The sequence below is a fragment of the Homo sapiens genome, chromosome 17 (genome assembly GCF_000001405.40).
Source record: "Homo sapiens chromosome 17, GRCh38.p14 Primary Assembly".
Lineage (NCBI taxonomy): Eukaryota > Metazoa > Chordata > Mammalia > Primates > Hominidae > Homo > Homo sapiens.
The window spans coordinates 68153396-68168943 of record NC_000017.11 but is presented as its reverse complement, the minus strand read 5'-3'; the positions used below and the strand labels follow the sequence as shown (position 1 = coordinate 68168943).

Below are 15548 nucleotides of genomic sequence, written 5' to 3'. Positions count from 1 at the left end.
GATAAGAACGTGGAGAACCTTTATATCTAGCTCAAGGATTGTAAACACACCAATCAGTGTCCTGTCAAAACAGACCACTCAGCTCTACCAATCAGCAGGACGTGGGTGGGGCCAGATAAGAGAATAAAAGCAGGCTGCCTGAACCAGCAGTGGCAACCTGCATCGCGTCTTGTTCAACACTGTGGAGGCTTTGTTGTTTTGTTGTTTGCAATAGATCTTGCTACTGCTCACTCTTTAGGTCCACACTGCTTTTATGGCTGTAACACTCACTGTGAAGAACTGCAGCTTCGCTCTTGAGCTAGCAAGACCGCGAACCCACCAGAAAGAAGAAACTCCAAACACATCTGAACATCAGAAGGAACAAACTCCAGATGTGCCACCTTAAGAACTATAACACTCACCACAAAGGTCTGTGGCTTCATTCTTGAAGTCAGTGAGACCAAGAACCCACCAATTCCAGACACACAATCATAGCTCACTGCAGCCTTGACCTTCTGTGCTCAAGAGATCCTCCCACCTCAGCCTTCCAGATAGCTGGAACTATAGACATACAGCACTATGCCCCACTAATTTACCTCACTTTATTTTTTGTAGAGACAGTATCTCACTATATTGCCCAGGCTGGTCTTGAACTCCTGTGCTCAAGCAATCCTCTCACTTCAGCCTCCCAAAGTGCTGAGATTATAGGTGTCAGCCACTGTGCCTGGCCCATAGCAATGCTTTTGAGACAAGGTTTTAAAACCTGCTACTATAAGATAATCAGTTATATTTGCCTTCAGGGGTAATTTACCTATTGTGTTGTTATTAAAGGAGTCTGTTGGTGGTAACTCCTTGGCTTCAGAGTGGCCGTCTCCTTGCAAGGAAACTTTGAAGAATTTAGTCAAACATTAGTGTTACAGAGAAGGACCCAAGGTCCATAGGAAGTGGAGTGTAATACACAAGTTCTCCAGTCATTTCCTAACTCCGTTTTTAACATCTCACCCCAATAGTTTCCCCTGGATCCAATTAAATACACATGTCATGCTTTTATTCTTAAGCTTGCTTCTTCCTGATTTCCTTGGAAATGTTTTCCTTCTGCTCCTTATAACTTTTTGGGTTGAAGGCTCAGTTCATTTATTTTATTTATGGGATTTTTGGTTTTTGTTTTTAGTCCCCTTTCCTCTCCTCTGTTGCTCACAGTGCAGACAACTTTGTGCAGTGGAAACAGTGCAGCCTTTGGGGCCTGAAAGTCTTTTGTTTTGACTCTTGGTTCAACTTCCCATGAGCAACTGTTAAGTCTCAGTTTTTTCGTGTGTAAAAGGAAGGCAGTGGTAGCCCTCTGCAGTGTTTTTTGAAGATTAAATGGGATCGTGGTATGTAAGGAACATTGCGCAGTGCCTGATACATGGCAGATGCTCATTGGATACCTGTCTCCTGATCATTTCCCACCCTGCACATGTACAATGCCTACCTACTTAATAAAACAAAACCCCATGGTTTCTTTTTTCTTTTGTGTCATTTATATTAATACTTCTTGCTGTAATGTCACAATGCTTGAGCTGAGAGGTGAGTTGCCAGCAATAAGACGGGGACATAGCATAGAATAGCTATTAACATGGGGGATTCTGGAGTCCGGCTGCTGCTTTCTGTCCCAGGCATCTCCACAGACCACCTGGATTAAGCAAATAGCATCGAAGCCTGAGGATCCTGCTCTCTATTTTGTTTTATTGGAACAAAAGCAGTTAAGACAGGGTTTCACCATGTTGGCCAGGCTGGTCTCTGTGGGATTTTAATTGTAGTCAGAATATTTATCTATATAATTTCTCCTTGGAAAGCTTGAGGTATTTTTTGTAACCCAGTTTATATCAATTTGTGTACTTATTCCTGAAATATCTGAGAAGGTATACCTTCTGTGGAGTAAAGACAAGCCTGATAATAAAGCCAAAAATTCAGTCTTATTAATCATATGATTTGAAATATGTCTAAGCAGTGACGGTCTTTTTTTTTTTTTTTTTTTGGAACAAAGTACACCTGTCAGCTCCACAGACCCACCTTTTGTCATCTCTGGTGTGTTTCTCCAGAATATCTGTCATTCAACTTCCGAGCTCCAATCTTTGTTGTCCCTGGCCATCCTTCTCTGGTTCACTGTTTTTCACACCTTTCTCCTCTGCCTTCTCGAGGAATGTCTCAGGTGTGCAACTACAGCCTTGATCGATTTCATTTTTGTCACTGGATTTCAGTTCCTTGAAAATTCTTTTATCATTGCTGTCAGAATTTCAGCACACTGTATCATTTTTGGTTTTGTCTTATATTTTATTGAGTATTCAAAGCAGACATTTCCTTAAAATTTCCTCTCTGTAGGGTGGGCGCTGTGGCTCACGCCTGTAATCACAACACTTTGAGAGGTCTAGGTGGGCAGATCACAAGGTCAGGAGTTTGAGACCAGCCTGGCCAACATGGTGAAACCCCGTCTCTACTAAAAATACAAAAATTAGCCAGGTGTGATGGCAGGCACCTGTAATCCCAGCTACTCGGGAGGCTGAGGCAGGAGAATTGCTTGAACCCGGAAGGGGGAGGTTGCAGTGAGCCAAGATTGCGCCATTGCACTCCAGCTCTGGGCAACAGAGCAAGACTCCATCTCGGGGGGAAAAAAAATCCTCTGTTTTCTACAGCAATTTATTTCCAGAAGTATATTTTCCCAGTCCTGTCCTTAGAGCTGACAAGAGGAGCCCCTGACTGGGCCCTGCAATTTAGAGAACTCTACATACAAAAAAACTAAATTAATTAAGGACTACAAGGCTGGGTGTGGTGGCTCATGTCTGTAATCCCAGCACTTTGGGAGCTCAAGGTGGGCAGTTCACCTGAGGCCAGGAGTTCGAGACCATCCTGGACAACATGACAAAACCCCGTCTCTAGTAAAAATACGAAAATTAGCCGGGCGCGGTGGCACATGCCTGTAATCCCGGCTACTAGAGAGGCTGAGGCATGAGAATCATTTGAACCTGGGAGGCAGAGGTTGCAGTGAGCTGAGATTGCACCACTGCGCTCCAGCCTGGGTGACAGAGCAAGGCTGTCTCAAAAACAAACAAAAACAAAAAAACAAAAAAACAAAAAACATTAAGGCCCACAGGATGCCTCTGCTAGTCTGGATCTGGTGCCTGGCGTTGGTGCAGCACCACCTAACCCCATGCATCCTCTCTTGACTGACAATTTTCAGGCCCCAGAGGGATGCTTCTCTACATCTTATCCTCTGTCCATGGGAAAAATTATAACTAAATCTAAAGGTTGAATGGGGCCTCTGGTAGGCACTATTTTGATGTACAGAGAAGCTGTGGGCAGAAAAGGACTTAGATAAGAGAAAGACAAGTTAACATATCATGGTTCCAGAGGTCCTCATGAGTTAGCACAGTATTTGTCTCAGTTGCATAGAAGCTGAGGAAAAGTTTGCAATATTAACCCTTTTCCCGTTTAGGAAAAAAGGGGCAGCTCACTGCCAGTGCTCATTTAATTTTACAGAAACATGCTCTTTGAGGCTGAAGCAAATATCACGGATTTCCTTCCTTCCCCGCCTCCCTCCTCCCTCCCCTTCCCTTCCTTTCCTTCCTTTTACAGAAACATGCTCTTTGATGCTGAAGCAAATCTGACTTCTTCCTTCCTTCCTTCCTCCCTCACTCCCTCTCTCTCTTTCTTTCTTTCGACAGAGTCTTGCTCTGTCACCCAGGCTGGAGTGCAGTGGTGTGATCTCAGCTCACCACAACCACTGCCTCCTAGGTTCAAGAAATTCTCCTGCCTCAGCCTCCCGAGTAGCTGGGATTACAGGTGCCTGCCACCACAGCTGGCTAATTTTTCTATTTTTTAGTAGAGTCGGGGTTTCACCATGTTGGCCAGGCTGGTCTGGAACTCCTGACCTCAGGTGATCCATCTGCCTCTGCCTCCCAAAGTGCTGGGATTGCAGGCATGAGCCACCATGCCTGGCCACAAATCTGAATGATTTTCAGTTTGAAAATAAAATATAAAAACTGTTCTTGGAATTATTTATAAACAGAACTAACATCAGAATCATCTGAATCATCAGAATAGTCTATTCTGGAAAAATCAGATTCATCAAATGAATCTTTGGCCAACAACTGTTGGAGAATGATGTTAGTATCATGTGTAGGAATGCTATGTTTTCTAGGATTTGATATTTTCAGCCATGGACAATTACTGTATTTTGTAAATGGAAATCCCGCTACTAAAAACACAATGCTATAAATAGAATGATGCCTTTTGTTTCCAAAGTGGATATACTAGAGTGATGCGAAAATAATAATAAAGTGAGATATTTCATGGCAAAGTTATCTTCGGGAAGATGCTGCAGCTGCAGGTGCCACCGGTGAGTCTTCTCTGGGCAAACGAGAAAAGGATGAAGTAAATCACATTACACATTATTCTTAAATTTGTATCTGTGTCTAGCCCTCAGACAAACTGTGATGCTTACTAATTTTTTTTTTTTTTTTTTTTGAGATGGAGTCTTGCTCTGTCGCCCAGGCTAGAGTGCAGTGGCGCGATCTCAGCTCACTGCAAGCTCCACCTGCCGGGTTCAAGTGATTCTCCTGCCTCAGCCTCCCAAGTAGCTGGTACTACAGGCGCCCACCACCATGCCTGGCTTTTTGTTTTGTTTTGTTTGTATTTTTAGTAGAGACGGGGTTTCACCATGTTAGCCAGGATGGGCTCGATCTCCTGACCTCGTGATCTGCCCGCCTTGGCCTCCCAAAGTGCTGGGATTACAGGCGCAAGCCACTGCACCCGGCCACCTTTTCTTTACATTGGCAATGAGGTGGTCATTGAATGCTAGAATTATGAATTTTAATTTAATGTAATTTAATTAAGTTTTCAAAAATCAAAATAAAATGGATTTCAATCATTTTGATTTACAAATTTGATTAATTCTAATTTGTATGTTGCCTTTTGGTTTAATAGGTACTTTTCTTTCTTTTTTTTTTTGAGATGGAGTCTCGCTCTGTCGCTCAGGCTGGAGTGCAGTGGCACGACCTCGGCTCACTGAAGCCTCTGCCTCCCGGGTTCAAGCAATTCTTCTGCCTCAGCCTCCCAAGTAGCTGGGACTACAGGTGCGCCACCACACCTGGCTAATATTTTTTGTATTTTTAGTAGAGATGGGGGTTTCACCATATTGGCCAGGCTGGTCTCAAACTCCTGACCTCATGATCTGCCTGCCTCAGCCTCCCAAAGTGCTGGGATTATAGGCGTGAGCTACTGGGCCCAGCAATAGATACTTTTCAATATTTGAAAAGAATATTGTTTGGGAAAACATTTCTGACAAAATTAAATTTTTTACATAAACTTATTTTGATGAAAATGTTAAGATACTTGTACTGTGAATATGACTGTTTTAATCCTTACATGTATTTTTTTTTTTTTTTTTTGAGATGGAGTCTCACTCTGTTGCCCAGGCTGGAGTGCAGTGGCGCCATCTTGGCTCACTGCAAGCTCCGCCTCTCAGGTTCACGTCATTCTCCTGCCTCAGCCTCCGGAGTAGTTGGGACTACAGGCACCCGCCACCACGCCCAGCTAATTTTTGTATTTTTAGTAGAGACGGGGTTTCACCTTGTTAGCCAGGATGGTCTGGATCACCTGACCTCGTGATCCGCCTGCCGTGGCCTCCCAAAATACTGGGATTATAGGCATGAGCCACCGCGCCCAGCCTTCTTACATGTATTTTTAAATCTTGACAATAATAATTGATTTTGCTGAAAGGAATAAAAATAAATTTCATGGAATAGTTTCAGTAATTTATAAATTACACATATCTTTATTTTATTACGCATCTCAATATTAAGAATTGCTTGAACCCGGGAGGCAGGGGCTGTAGTGAACCGAGATCGCGTCACTGCACTCCAGCCTGGGCAACAGAGTGAGACTCCGTCTCCAAAAAAAAAAAAAAAAAAAAGCAAAAAAATTTTATGATCTTTGATATTTTGCTAACTTTCTGTCATGTACAAATCATAGCTTCATACACATTTTTAAATTTTATCATTTTAAAGGAATATTTGTCAGGGGATGAGGTTAGAACATACTTTATTTAACACCCTGTTAGTTTAATTTATAATTTGGAAATATTTAGACAGATGGCCTGTGGCGTCCATCTGTCCTCTTGCCCCAAACTGCACGTCCAGACTTGACTCATGGGCCCCAGCTTGGGTTTTTGATAGGAATCTTCCCAGGGCTCATGTTTGTAATAGCTGGGGGGGCCAGGGGTGGAGGGTCCCTCTGGTCCCCCTTTGAATGCTGCAGACACCATCTTCTCTCAGATTTTAAGCTGCAGAGACCAAATTTCCAGCATGTGGTCCTGGGCTATGGAAACCTCTCCTCCTGCCCAGGACTCTCACTCTACAGAGATGAGTTCATTCAGGTCCCTGAAGCCCCTGTAGAGTTCTGGCCATAAATGGTTCCTCATAAAGTGGTGCCCCCAGGATGTTCAGCCTCCCCGCCCCCGCCCCTGCAGACCTCCTATCCCAGGGTGCCATATGCTGCTGCCCTGCTGGGAGGAGAAGCCCGGGGGGCATGGGGCAGCACTGCCTGCTTAGAAGCCCCTTGTAAACTTTCTTTCTGCCAGATCCTGCCGCCCTGTTTCAGAGGGTAGAGTGGGCCAGCAGTAACAAAATGTTTCCTCCCTTGCCCCTTTCTGGTAGAAATTTCTCCCAGACTTCCTTGGTGACTAATGGTGTTGGGATGTTGTGGCCTTCACAGGGAGGGGACAGGTTGTCAGCTCACAGTTTCACAGATGGTTGACCGATGCTGACAGTAGCTGGCAGGTTTCTTTTGGCTGCAAGTGACAGAAACCCAACTCAAACTTGTTCGCAAGTAGGGACATTTACTGCTTCTCAGAATTGAAGGAAGGGGAAGGGTGTGTTTGGGTCCCAGAAAGGGTGGACCGTGGGACTGGAATCCGGTCCAGACTCCACTCCCTCTTCACAGAAGCTTAGCACCTCAGATGGGCTGTGTCCTCTGGCCCTGCACACATGGGCTTCCTGTTGGAAGCTGAGCAGCTCCACCAGCTTCCCCTTATAAATGTAGTGACTGGCGCAGAAGCGTTCCTATGACTATGGGGGGTGACAGGGGACCGGGCACTGGCACTGGCAGCCCCCGCCTAAAACCCCATGAGAGAAGGAGTTACCCCAAAGGTGGTGCTGTTCCCAGAAAGGAAGGGAACAGCCCGTGCTCTCCACCCTGTCCCACCCAGCCATTTTCCTCACAGACGTCACCTGTGCTTCCAGGCCCAGCTGCTATTTCTGCCTGATGCTTAACTAATTTGCATGGTTAAAACCAGCATATTTCCAGGAGATGGATAATGTCACAGAACTGGGGTTCCAGAAGGCTGGGGTGGTCCAGCACTCCTGCCTTCTTTAGAACATGGAGAGCTGTTAGTTGGGCAGGGCTGAAGCGTAGGTGGCGAGGAACAGGAGGCTCCTACTGCAGATGGCCTTGTTCTTCGGATCCTCCCAGAAATCCCCAGGCCAGCTGGAACCTGGGGTCAGAGAGGGATGGGAGAGAGGTAGGCTGTGAAAGGGGGTGGGAACACACCTTCTGGAACCACTGTCTTCCTTGAGGGGACCCCAAGAGGGGGCTTGATGGGCAGGGATGGAGCTTCCTCCTTCCCGAGGCTCAGTGACACTTATCTCTGAGGGACCCTCCTGAGACAGTGTGGGGTAGTTTGTTGTTTGTCCGAAATTCTAATTTAACAGGATCTTGTAAATTTTATTTGCTAAATCTGTCAGCTCTGGGGGTAGGAGGATGAGAGGAGCAAAACAATGGTCCCAAGCTCAGGCTGGTATGGAGTGAGTCTTAGACAGAAAAAGAGACCAGAGAGGAAACAAGCCCACTGGGGTAGCCATCTTGTCCAACCGGAAGCCGCCTGACACTTGAAGGCGATGGATGGAAGAACTCAGCCCTCTGCCTCCTCAGCAACATGAACCTAGTTTAAGGGGAAAGACACACCTTCTCTCAGTGACAGAAATAGCCCCAGATTTTCAGATTTATCAAAAGTATTATTTTTTTCAGGCCAGGTACAGTGGCTCATGCCTGTAATCCCAGCACTTTGGGAGGCCAAGGTGGGTGAGATCAGGAGTTTGAGACCAGTCTGGCCAACATGGTGAAATCCCATCTCTACTAAAAGTACAAAAATTAGCCAGGTGTGGTGGACGGTGCCTGCAATCCCAGCTACTCGGGAAGCTGAGGCAGGAGAATTGCTTGAGCTCAGGAGGTGGAGGTTTCAGTGAGGTGAGATTGTGCCACTGCACTCCAGCCTGGACAACGGAGTCAGACGAAAGAAAAAGACAGACAGACAGACGGAGACAGAGACACAGAGAGAGAGTGAGAGAGAGAAAAAGAATTTAAATCAGCCAGTTGTAGTGGCATGCACCTGTAGTCCCAGCTATTTGGGAGGTTGAGATGGGAGGATTGCTTGGGCCCAGGAGTTTGAGGCTGCAGTGAGCTATGATTGCATCACTGCACTCCAGCCTGGGCAACAGAGTGAAACCCTATCTCTAAAAAATGAATGAATGAATGAAATTTTCACCAGAAGAGTTCTGCTTATATTTACTTTTTAAAATATTTTAGAGACACAGTATCACTGTGTTGCCCAGGCTGGTCTCTAAGTCCTGACCTCAAGCAATCCTCCTGCCTCAGCCTCTTAAGTAGCTAGGTACAAGCCACCATGCCTAGCTATATTTACCTTTTTTTTTTTGAGATGGAGTCTCTCTCGCCCAGGCTGGAGTGCAGTGGCGCAATCTTGGCTCACTGCAACCTCCGCCTCCCGGGTTCCAGCAATTCTTCTGCCTCAGCCTCCTGAGTAGCTTGGATTATAGGCACACACCACCACGCCTGGCTAATTTTTGTATTTTAGTAGAGATGGAGTTTCACCATGTTGGCCAGGCTGGTCTCCAACTCCTGACCTCAAGTGATCCGCCTGCCTCAGCCCCTCCAAAGTGCTGAGACTACAGGTGTGAGCCACCACACCCGGCCATATATTTACTTTTATGTGAATTTAAAACATGTAGGTGTGACCAACTCTTCTGCCAGCTCTTACATAAGGAGACTTTATCATCATCATCATGTTCATCATCACTCACAAACTGCTTATTTGGAACTCCCCTCAGTTCTCAGAGTGGGAACATTCTTTAAGCGGCCTTGTAGAAACCCTATTCCATGCTAACATGCCAACCAATTTTACTTTCCCAGAACCACAGAATGATATTTCATTGTATGCCTCGACTCAATCACCTTTCCTTTTTCAAGGACCATTTCAATGCCTGATTGGCTACTTGATCTGACTGCTTCCTGCTAATCTTGCTGCCTATTCTTGTCTATATTCCATTCCTCATCGAATTAACCTTGATCGAATCTGAGAACTCTGCTTAGTAATGACTCCGGGTATTCTATACCCACTTCTGTAGCTTGTTCAACACCCTCTTCAATCCTGGTCCCACTTCCTGTGACTGAAATGATTACCTGTAATATATTATTTAACTTTTGGACTATGATCTGTTTCTAACCTGTGACCATTTCACATAGCCACTCAAATATTGTAAAGGTACGGTAAAGATGATGAAACAGTTAGTTGGCATCATTTTGTACGTAATGAGTTTGTAGTGCGCTTTGGACATTGAGACCACTTCATAAGCTTTAGGTTTTGAGAATTTCACAGAATAAAGCTCATCGCTGATGCAGTAATGAAGGAAATGTTCTACAAGTCAATAGATAGGTGAAAGGAGAGGGCATTCATATTAGATTTACTTACTGAACTCAGAGCCTTGGGTTACCACCTGACCACCACTGCCATCTAGTTTAAGTGTCCTTTTCTTTTTCTTTCAAATCTCTGGCAGGTTGTGATATTTATGGGTCTATCTCTTGTGACTTTAGGTTCGTCTTGGCACCAGACATAAGGCAGTTCCACAACAAGCTCTTGCCCTAAACAGCTCCTGATGCCAAGAACTGCCGAATTACTACTTTGATTTCAGTAGATGTCAAAAAGGATCATCAGGGTAAACTTTGTAGATTTCTTTCAATAACCACACTCTCCTTTCAACATTGAAATTCTAGACCGTAGACAGAAGTATTGAAATGGGTTATAGGGAGGAGATGTGAGAGGCCTCCTGCCATTGATAAGTGGACATGTCTGAATTGGCCTGCTACCTAAATTAATAATCTCAATCACTTGGATGGTGGTATCCATAATTTTCTCCACTGTTTGTGTGGCATATAATAAAAAACGGTTGTATCTAGCAATTCCTTTGCAAATCTTACTTGATTTTGAAGCCATAGAATGCCTCAACTCTTAGCTTGAATGACTGGAGTTTAGTTTTTATTTCTCAGAACAAAACAGTTTGAAGCCTAATTAATATCCTTGGAAGGAACTCACACTAAAAATTCTAACAGCTTCAGGAGTTTTCTGAAGGAAATTTCTTCAAGGATTTTCCCTTGAAGAAAGGGAAAATGAAGAGACATGGTGCCACTTCCGAAGCAAAGCCTGAAGTTCTGTGCTTTAGAGGTGGTGCTGCCATCCTATGATTGCAGGAGTCTGGCATTGGCTTGGTGGAGGAACCTGTGGGTAAGGCGGAGGAAGGTCTGTTTTCAATGGGGGTAGAGTAGAGTAAGGAGTTGAAGTGGGAATGATCTCTTTTTTCTTAATTTCTAAAACTCATCTTTTCAGACACATATTAAGTCCTTCCCTCTCTGAGCTACTGAAGTCCTAGGCAGAGTTTTTGTGTCTTACAATATAGGTTTTCACCTTAGGCAATACCTGACAAAACCTTTAAATTTAAAATTGTAAAGTCAATTTCCTGCCAGGAAGCTTAGGAGGAAGAACGAAGTAATGTTTTTCCAGTTTTGGGTTAAGAACTTGTTTTGTACTAAAATAGTCCTTCACATACGTATCTCTTGTAGCCTTCAGTTATCCCAGCAAATCATCTAGATTTATTTATTTATCTTTTTATTATTATTATTTTTTTAGAGACAGGGTCTCACTCTGTTGCCCAGGCTAGAGTGCAGTAGCATGATCATAGCTCACTGTAACCTCGAACTCCTGGGCTCAAGGGATTCTCTTACCTCAGCCTCCTGAGTAGCCAGGACTATAGGCATGCACCACCACATGTGGCTAATTATTTTTTCTAGAGATGGGGGATCTCGCTGTGTTGTCCTGCCTGGTCTCAAGCTCCTGGCCTCAAGTGATCCTCTTGCCTCAGGATCTCAAGATGCTGGGGTTATAGGCATGAGCCACCCACCATGCCAGGTCATCATCTAAAGATTTACAAAAACTTTTGTGTTAACATTCAGTCCTTTTTTTTTTTGAGATGGAGTCTCGCTCTGTCACCCAGGCTGGAGTGCACTGGTGTGATCTCGGCTCACTGCAACCTCCACCTCCCAGGTTCAAGCAATTCTGCTGCCTCCTGCCCACCACCACACCCAGCTAATTTTTTTTTTTTTTTTTTGTATTTTTAATAGAGACAGGGTTTCACCATGTTGCCGAGGCTGGTCTCAAACTCCTGACCTCAGGTGATCTAAATGATCTGCCCATCTTGGTCTCCCAAAGTACTGGGATTACAGGTGTGAGCCACTGCGCCTGGTCTCTTTTTTTTTTTTTTTTTTTTTTAAGAATAGTCTCACTCTGTCGCCCAGGCTAGAGTGCAGTGGTATGATCTCGGCTCACTGGAACCTCCACCTCCCAGTTCAAGCTATTCTTGTGCCTCAGACTCCCAAGTAGCTGGGATTACAGACACATGCCACCACACTTCTCTAATTTTTGTATTTTTAGTAAAGATGAGGTTTTACCATGTTGGCCTGGCTGTTCTTGAACTCCCGGCCTCCACCCACCTTGGCCTTCCAAAGTGCTGGGATTACAGGCATGGGCCACCATGTCCAGCCAACCAAACCTTTTTCGGTGAGTGATTTCAGCCCTTGATGCATAGGAGGGTAGGGTCTGTAGGAGTGTAGCCTTAACTGATGAATTTGAAATCTCTGGGTGATGTGAGCATGTGCCAGGTTCTTGGCTTGTATCTCCCTTCTAGTACTTCCGGAACTTCCCAACTAGATGGAGGCAGTAAAAATGGGCCCTGCCAGGATGTACCTATAACAGAGCCATTCAACCATACCCTTGTGCTGTCTACCCTTAATCATGAAGATTATGAGCTAAGAATCATGGATGCATTTTTATTTTTTAAACGTGTAGCAATTATCACTCAGATAGGTATCTTAAATCCATTTGTTTTGGTTGGATTTAAGACCGTTATTGTTCCTTATGAAAGGGAAGACAGCCCAGAAGCTTGCTATTCAGAAGGTTTTGTCAGATGCATTCCAGAAACTGTTGATTGTGGTTCTAGGTAAAACTTTCTTAATTTTAACTTCAGTTTCAATGAGCAAATAAACTCATTTTGAAAAGTTAATTGGATAAAAATATCGATATCTAAAACACTCCATAGTATGCTTTCATTTGCTAAATTCTTTCACAGCAACAGGCTCAAATTTGTTATTTGTGACATTTGTAGAAAAAATGGCAGCAACTATTGTCCCTAGTTTATAGTTGTAAAAGGACTTGCCTCAGTTCACACGGAAAATGTTTGAGGCAGGTCTTCTTTAATTGCATGCCTATCATACAGAATAGTGATTATAAGCTTTGGACACATGGACTTGAGTCCTAACTCTGTCTCTTAGATTTTTTTTTATTCAATTTTAAGTCTTATAGCCAGAGAGATTTGAAGATATTTAATATCTCTAAGCTGCAATCTCTTTATCTGCAAACTGGGGTTAGTAATCCAATCAACCTTATGGGGGATATTGTTTGAGAAAATGAGATGACAAATGTAAAAACTCAGAACTATACTTACAAGGTAAGCGACAAAATATGCTATTATTGTTGTTTTCTCTCTGAATAAACTCTCTGCCGAAGAGTTTACTAGATTATGTTTCCCGAATCGAGAATTCAGTTCCAGCTTTCATTTCTGGCACTGACATATTGGCCAAATAGGATTCTTATGCAATAATCAGTTGCTTTGCTGTGAGCCTTGGAAGTGGTCATGCTATTGAATGCCATTGCTTGTATTCCCTGTTCAGTTCTACAGTGGTGCAAATGTTATAGGCTGTGCCCAGAGGAAGCCCGATGTTTAGCAAAGAGTCCCTGAACAGAGTTGCTCTTCTGCTTCACAGCCCTGAAGACTTAGAGACAGAGATCCTAATTAAGTTACCACAGACCTTATTTGCTTGTAAGAGGTGGCCCTGATTGCTCTCGGCTTTCCAACCTGGGCCGCCCTTCTAGTGAAAGTCTTACTTCCTTGGTCATCAACTGTCAAGTCTGAGTAACAACCTTTAATAACCAAGCTAAATGTGTGGGTTGTTTACCTCTCCCTAGTATACAAAGGTATCCCTTGCACACACTCAAAACTTCTTAGACCAAAAGCCTTATATCTCTAATTTGCCTTGAAGGAAGTTGTATTGTCTATAGAGTATGCGGGATATTTTCTGCCAATAAAATGTTCAAGTGTTCTCTCTCTCTGAAGCTTTGCTCATTGTATCTGGTGGAATTTTGGTTCTCAGGGAGTAGACACCTAGCCGTGCTTCTAATGTGAAGTGTCTACTAGCCCAGTGGTCTCCATTTTGGATTTGAACTTCGACCCCCCCACCTGATGCCTTACTATTTAATATTGTGATTGAACATTTTTGTTTCCAAATTTTTTATTTCTTATGTTATTATTCCTTAGTTCCTATCTGTAAGATCATAAAGTCCTTTGAACCAAACACAGTTGATATTTCATACATATGTTAAAAACTGAGGTGTGAGACCGGACATGGTGACTCACACCTCAAATCTCAGCACTTTGGGAGGCCAAGACAGAAGGACACTTCAAGTCAGGAGTTCGAGACAGCCTGAAATAACAAAGCAGGACCATGTCTCTAAAAAAGAGAATTAGCCGGGCACAGTGGTGTAGTCCCTGCTACTCTGGAGGCTGAGGCAGGAAGATCACTTGAGCCCAGGAATTCCAGGCTGCAGTGAGCTATGACAGTGCCACTGTACTCCAGCCTGGGTGACAGAGTGAGACCCTGAAAAAGAAGAAAGGGAGGGAGGGGAGGGGAGGGGAAGGGAGGGGAAGGAAGGGGGAAAGGGAAAGGGACAGGGAAGTATGTGATGAGATGAGGAAACTTCCAGGAAAATGCTCTTATTTTCTGCTTTTAGAAACCAAAAGAATGTCTCACTGTGGGGTGCTACCATTATATGCAGGAAGTTTTAGAATGAAAAAGATTCTGAATTGCTCCTTGCTAACTTTATTTCAGAAAGTGGTAAAATAGCTGTGGAGTACAGACCCAGTGAAGAGATTGTAGATGTCAGATGGGAAGAAGAACTACACGGCTTAATTCAAGTATGTGGAGATAAAAACTCAAGGGTAACAGAGCCAGGCGTGGTGGCTCACACCTGTAATGCCAGTGCTTTGGGAGGCCGAGGCCGGCGGATCACCTGAGGTCAGGAGTTCAAGACCAGCCTGACCAACATGGAGAAATGGTGGCGCATGCCTGTAATCCCCGCTACTCGGGAGGCTGAGGCAAGAGAATCACTTGAACTGGGAGGCGAAGGTTGCTGTGAGCCAACATCATGCCATTGCACTGAATCCTGGCCAACAAGAGCGAAACTCCATCTCAAAAAACAAACAAACAGGCCAGATGCCATGGCTCACGCCTGTAATCCCAGCACTTTGGGAGGCCAAGACGGGTGGATCACGAGGTCAGGAGTTCAAGACTAGCCTGGCCAACGTGGTGAAACCCTGTCTCTACTAAAAATAGCTTAGGTGTGCTGTAGGCTATACCACCTAAGTTTGTGTAAGTATACGCTATGATGGCAAGCAACTCATGACTGTATATGAAAGCTCTTAAATAGGGATTAAGTTTCTAAATCTCAAAACAGTCATTATTTACTATATATGGAATTTAAAAAAAAAAAGGGGCAAAAGTTTCATTTCAGTGAGAACTTCATTTGGGGCTAGAGTGTTTTATTTAACTTTTACACCAAAGTTGCAAAGTGTTTTGAAGTTTTTCCCTGTAAAATAATTATTTTAATTCAATTTAAATAAAACCCACCAAGAAAACTTCAAGCTTTAAGAAGTCTAGCTTCCCGTGAAATGTGAGAGGAAGTCAGCACTGATTTCAGAAATCTGATTATAACAATAGATCTATCCCTAAATGAGGCGAATCTTGGAATCCCTTCAATTTTATTTTATTTTATTTTATTTTATTGAGGCAGAGTTTCACTCTTGTTGCCCAGGCTGGAGTGCAATGTCGCGATCTCGGCTCACTGCAACCTCCACCTCCCAGGTTCAAGTGATCCTCCTGCCTCAGCCTCCCGAGCAGCTGGGATTATAGGCATGCGCTACCACACCCGGCTAATTTTGTATTTTTAGTAGAGACAGAGTTTCACCATGTTGGTCAGGCTGTTCTTGAACTTCTGACCTCGGTGATCCGCCTACCTCAGCCTCCCAAAGTTCTGGGATTATGGGTGTGAGCCACTGCACCTGGCCCCCCTTCAATTT

At 44.1% G+C, this 15548-nt stretch overlaps 1 long non-coding RNA gene and 1 pseudogene across 2 annotated transcripts in view, besides 2 other annotated features; one reads left to right on the top strand and one right to left on the bottom strand.

The window, feature by feature from the left end:
- LOC105371870 (uncharacterized) overlaps positions 1–3541 on the bottom strand; it is a 29274-nt gene extending 25733 nt beyond the window's left edge. For both annotated transcript variants that reach the window (XR_934937.4, XR_001752982.3), the window contains exon 1: positions 2032–3541. This is a non-coding gene — a long non-coding RNA (uncharacterized LOC105371870). The remainder of the gene's footprint in view (positions 1–2031) is intronic.
- RDM1P3 (RDM1 pseudogene 3) lies at positions 9884–12447 on the top strand (annotated as a pseudogene).
- Positions 14037–14536: an enhancer, noted in NCBI's record as "H3K4me1 hESC enhancer chr17:66150549-66151048 (GRCh37/hg19 assembly coordinates)". NCBI's record gives its function as "activates a minimal SCP1, AML or CMV promoter by ChIP-STARR-seq in primed H9 embryonic stem cells {active_cell/tissue: H9 hESC(primed)}" and the evidence as "EXISTENCE:reporter gene assay evidence [ECO:0000049][PMID:30033119]".
- Positions 14537–15038: an enhancer, noted in NCBI's record as "H3K4me1 hESC enhancer chr17:66150047-66150548 (GRCh37/hg19 assembly coordinates)". NCBI's record gives its function as "activates a minimal SCP1, AML or CMV promoter by ChIP-STARR-seq in primed H9 embryonic stem cells {active_cell/tissue: H9 hESC(primed)}" and the evidence as "EXISTENCE:reporter gene assay evidence [ECO:0000049][PMID:30033119]".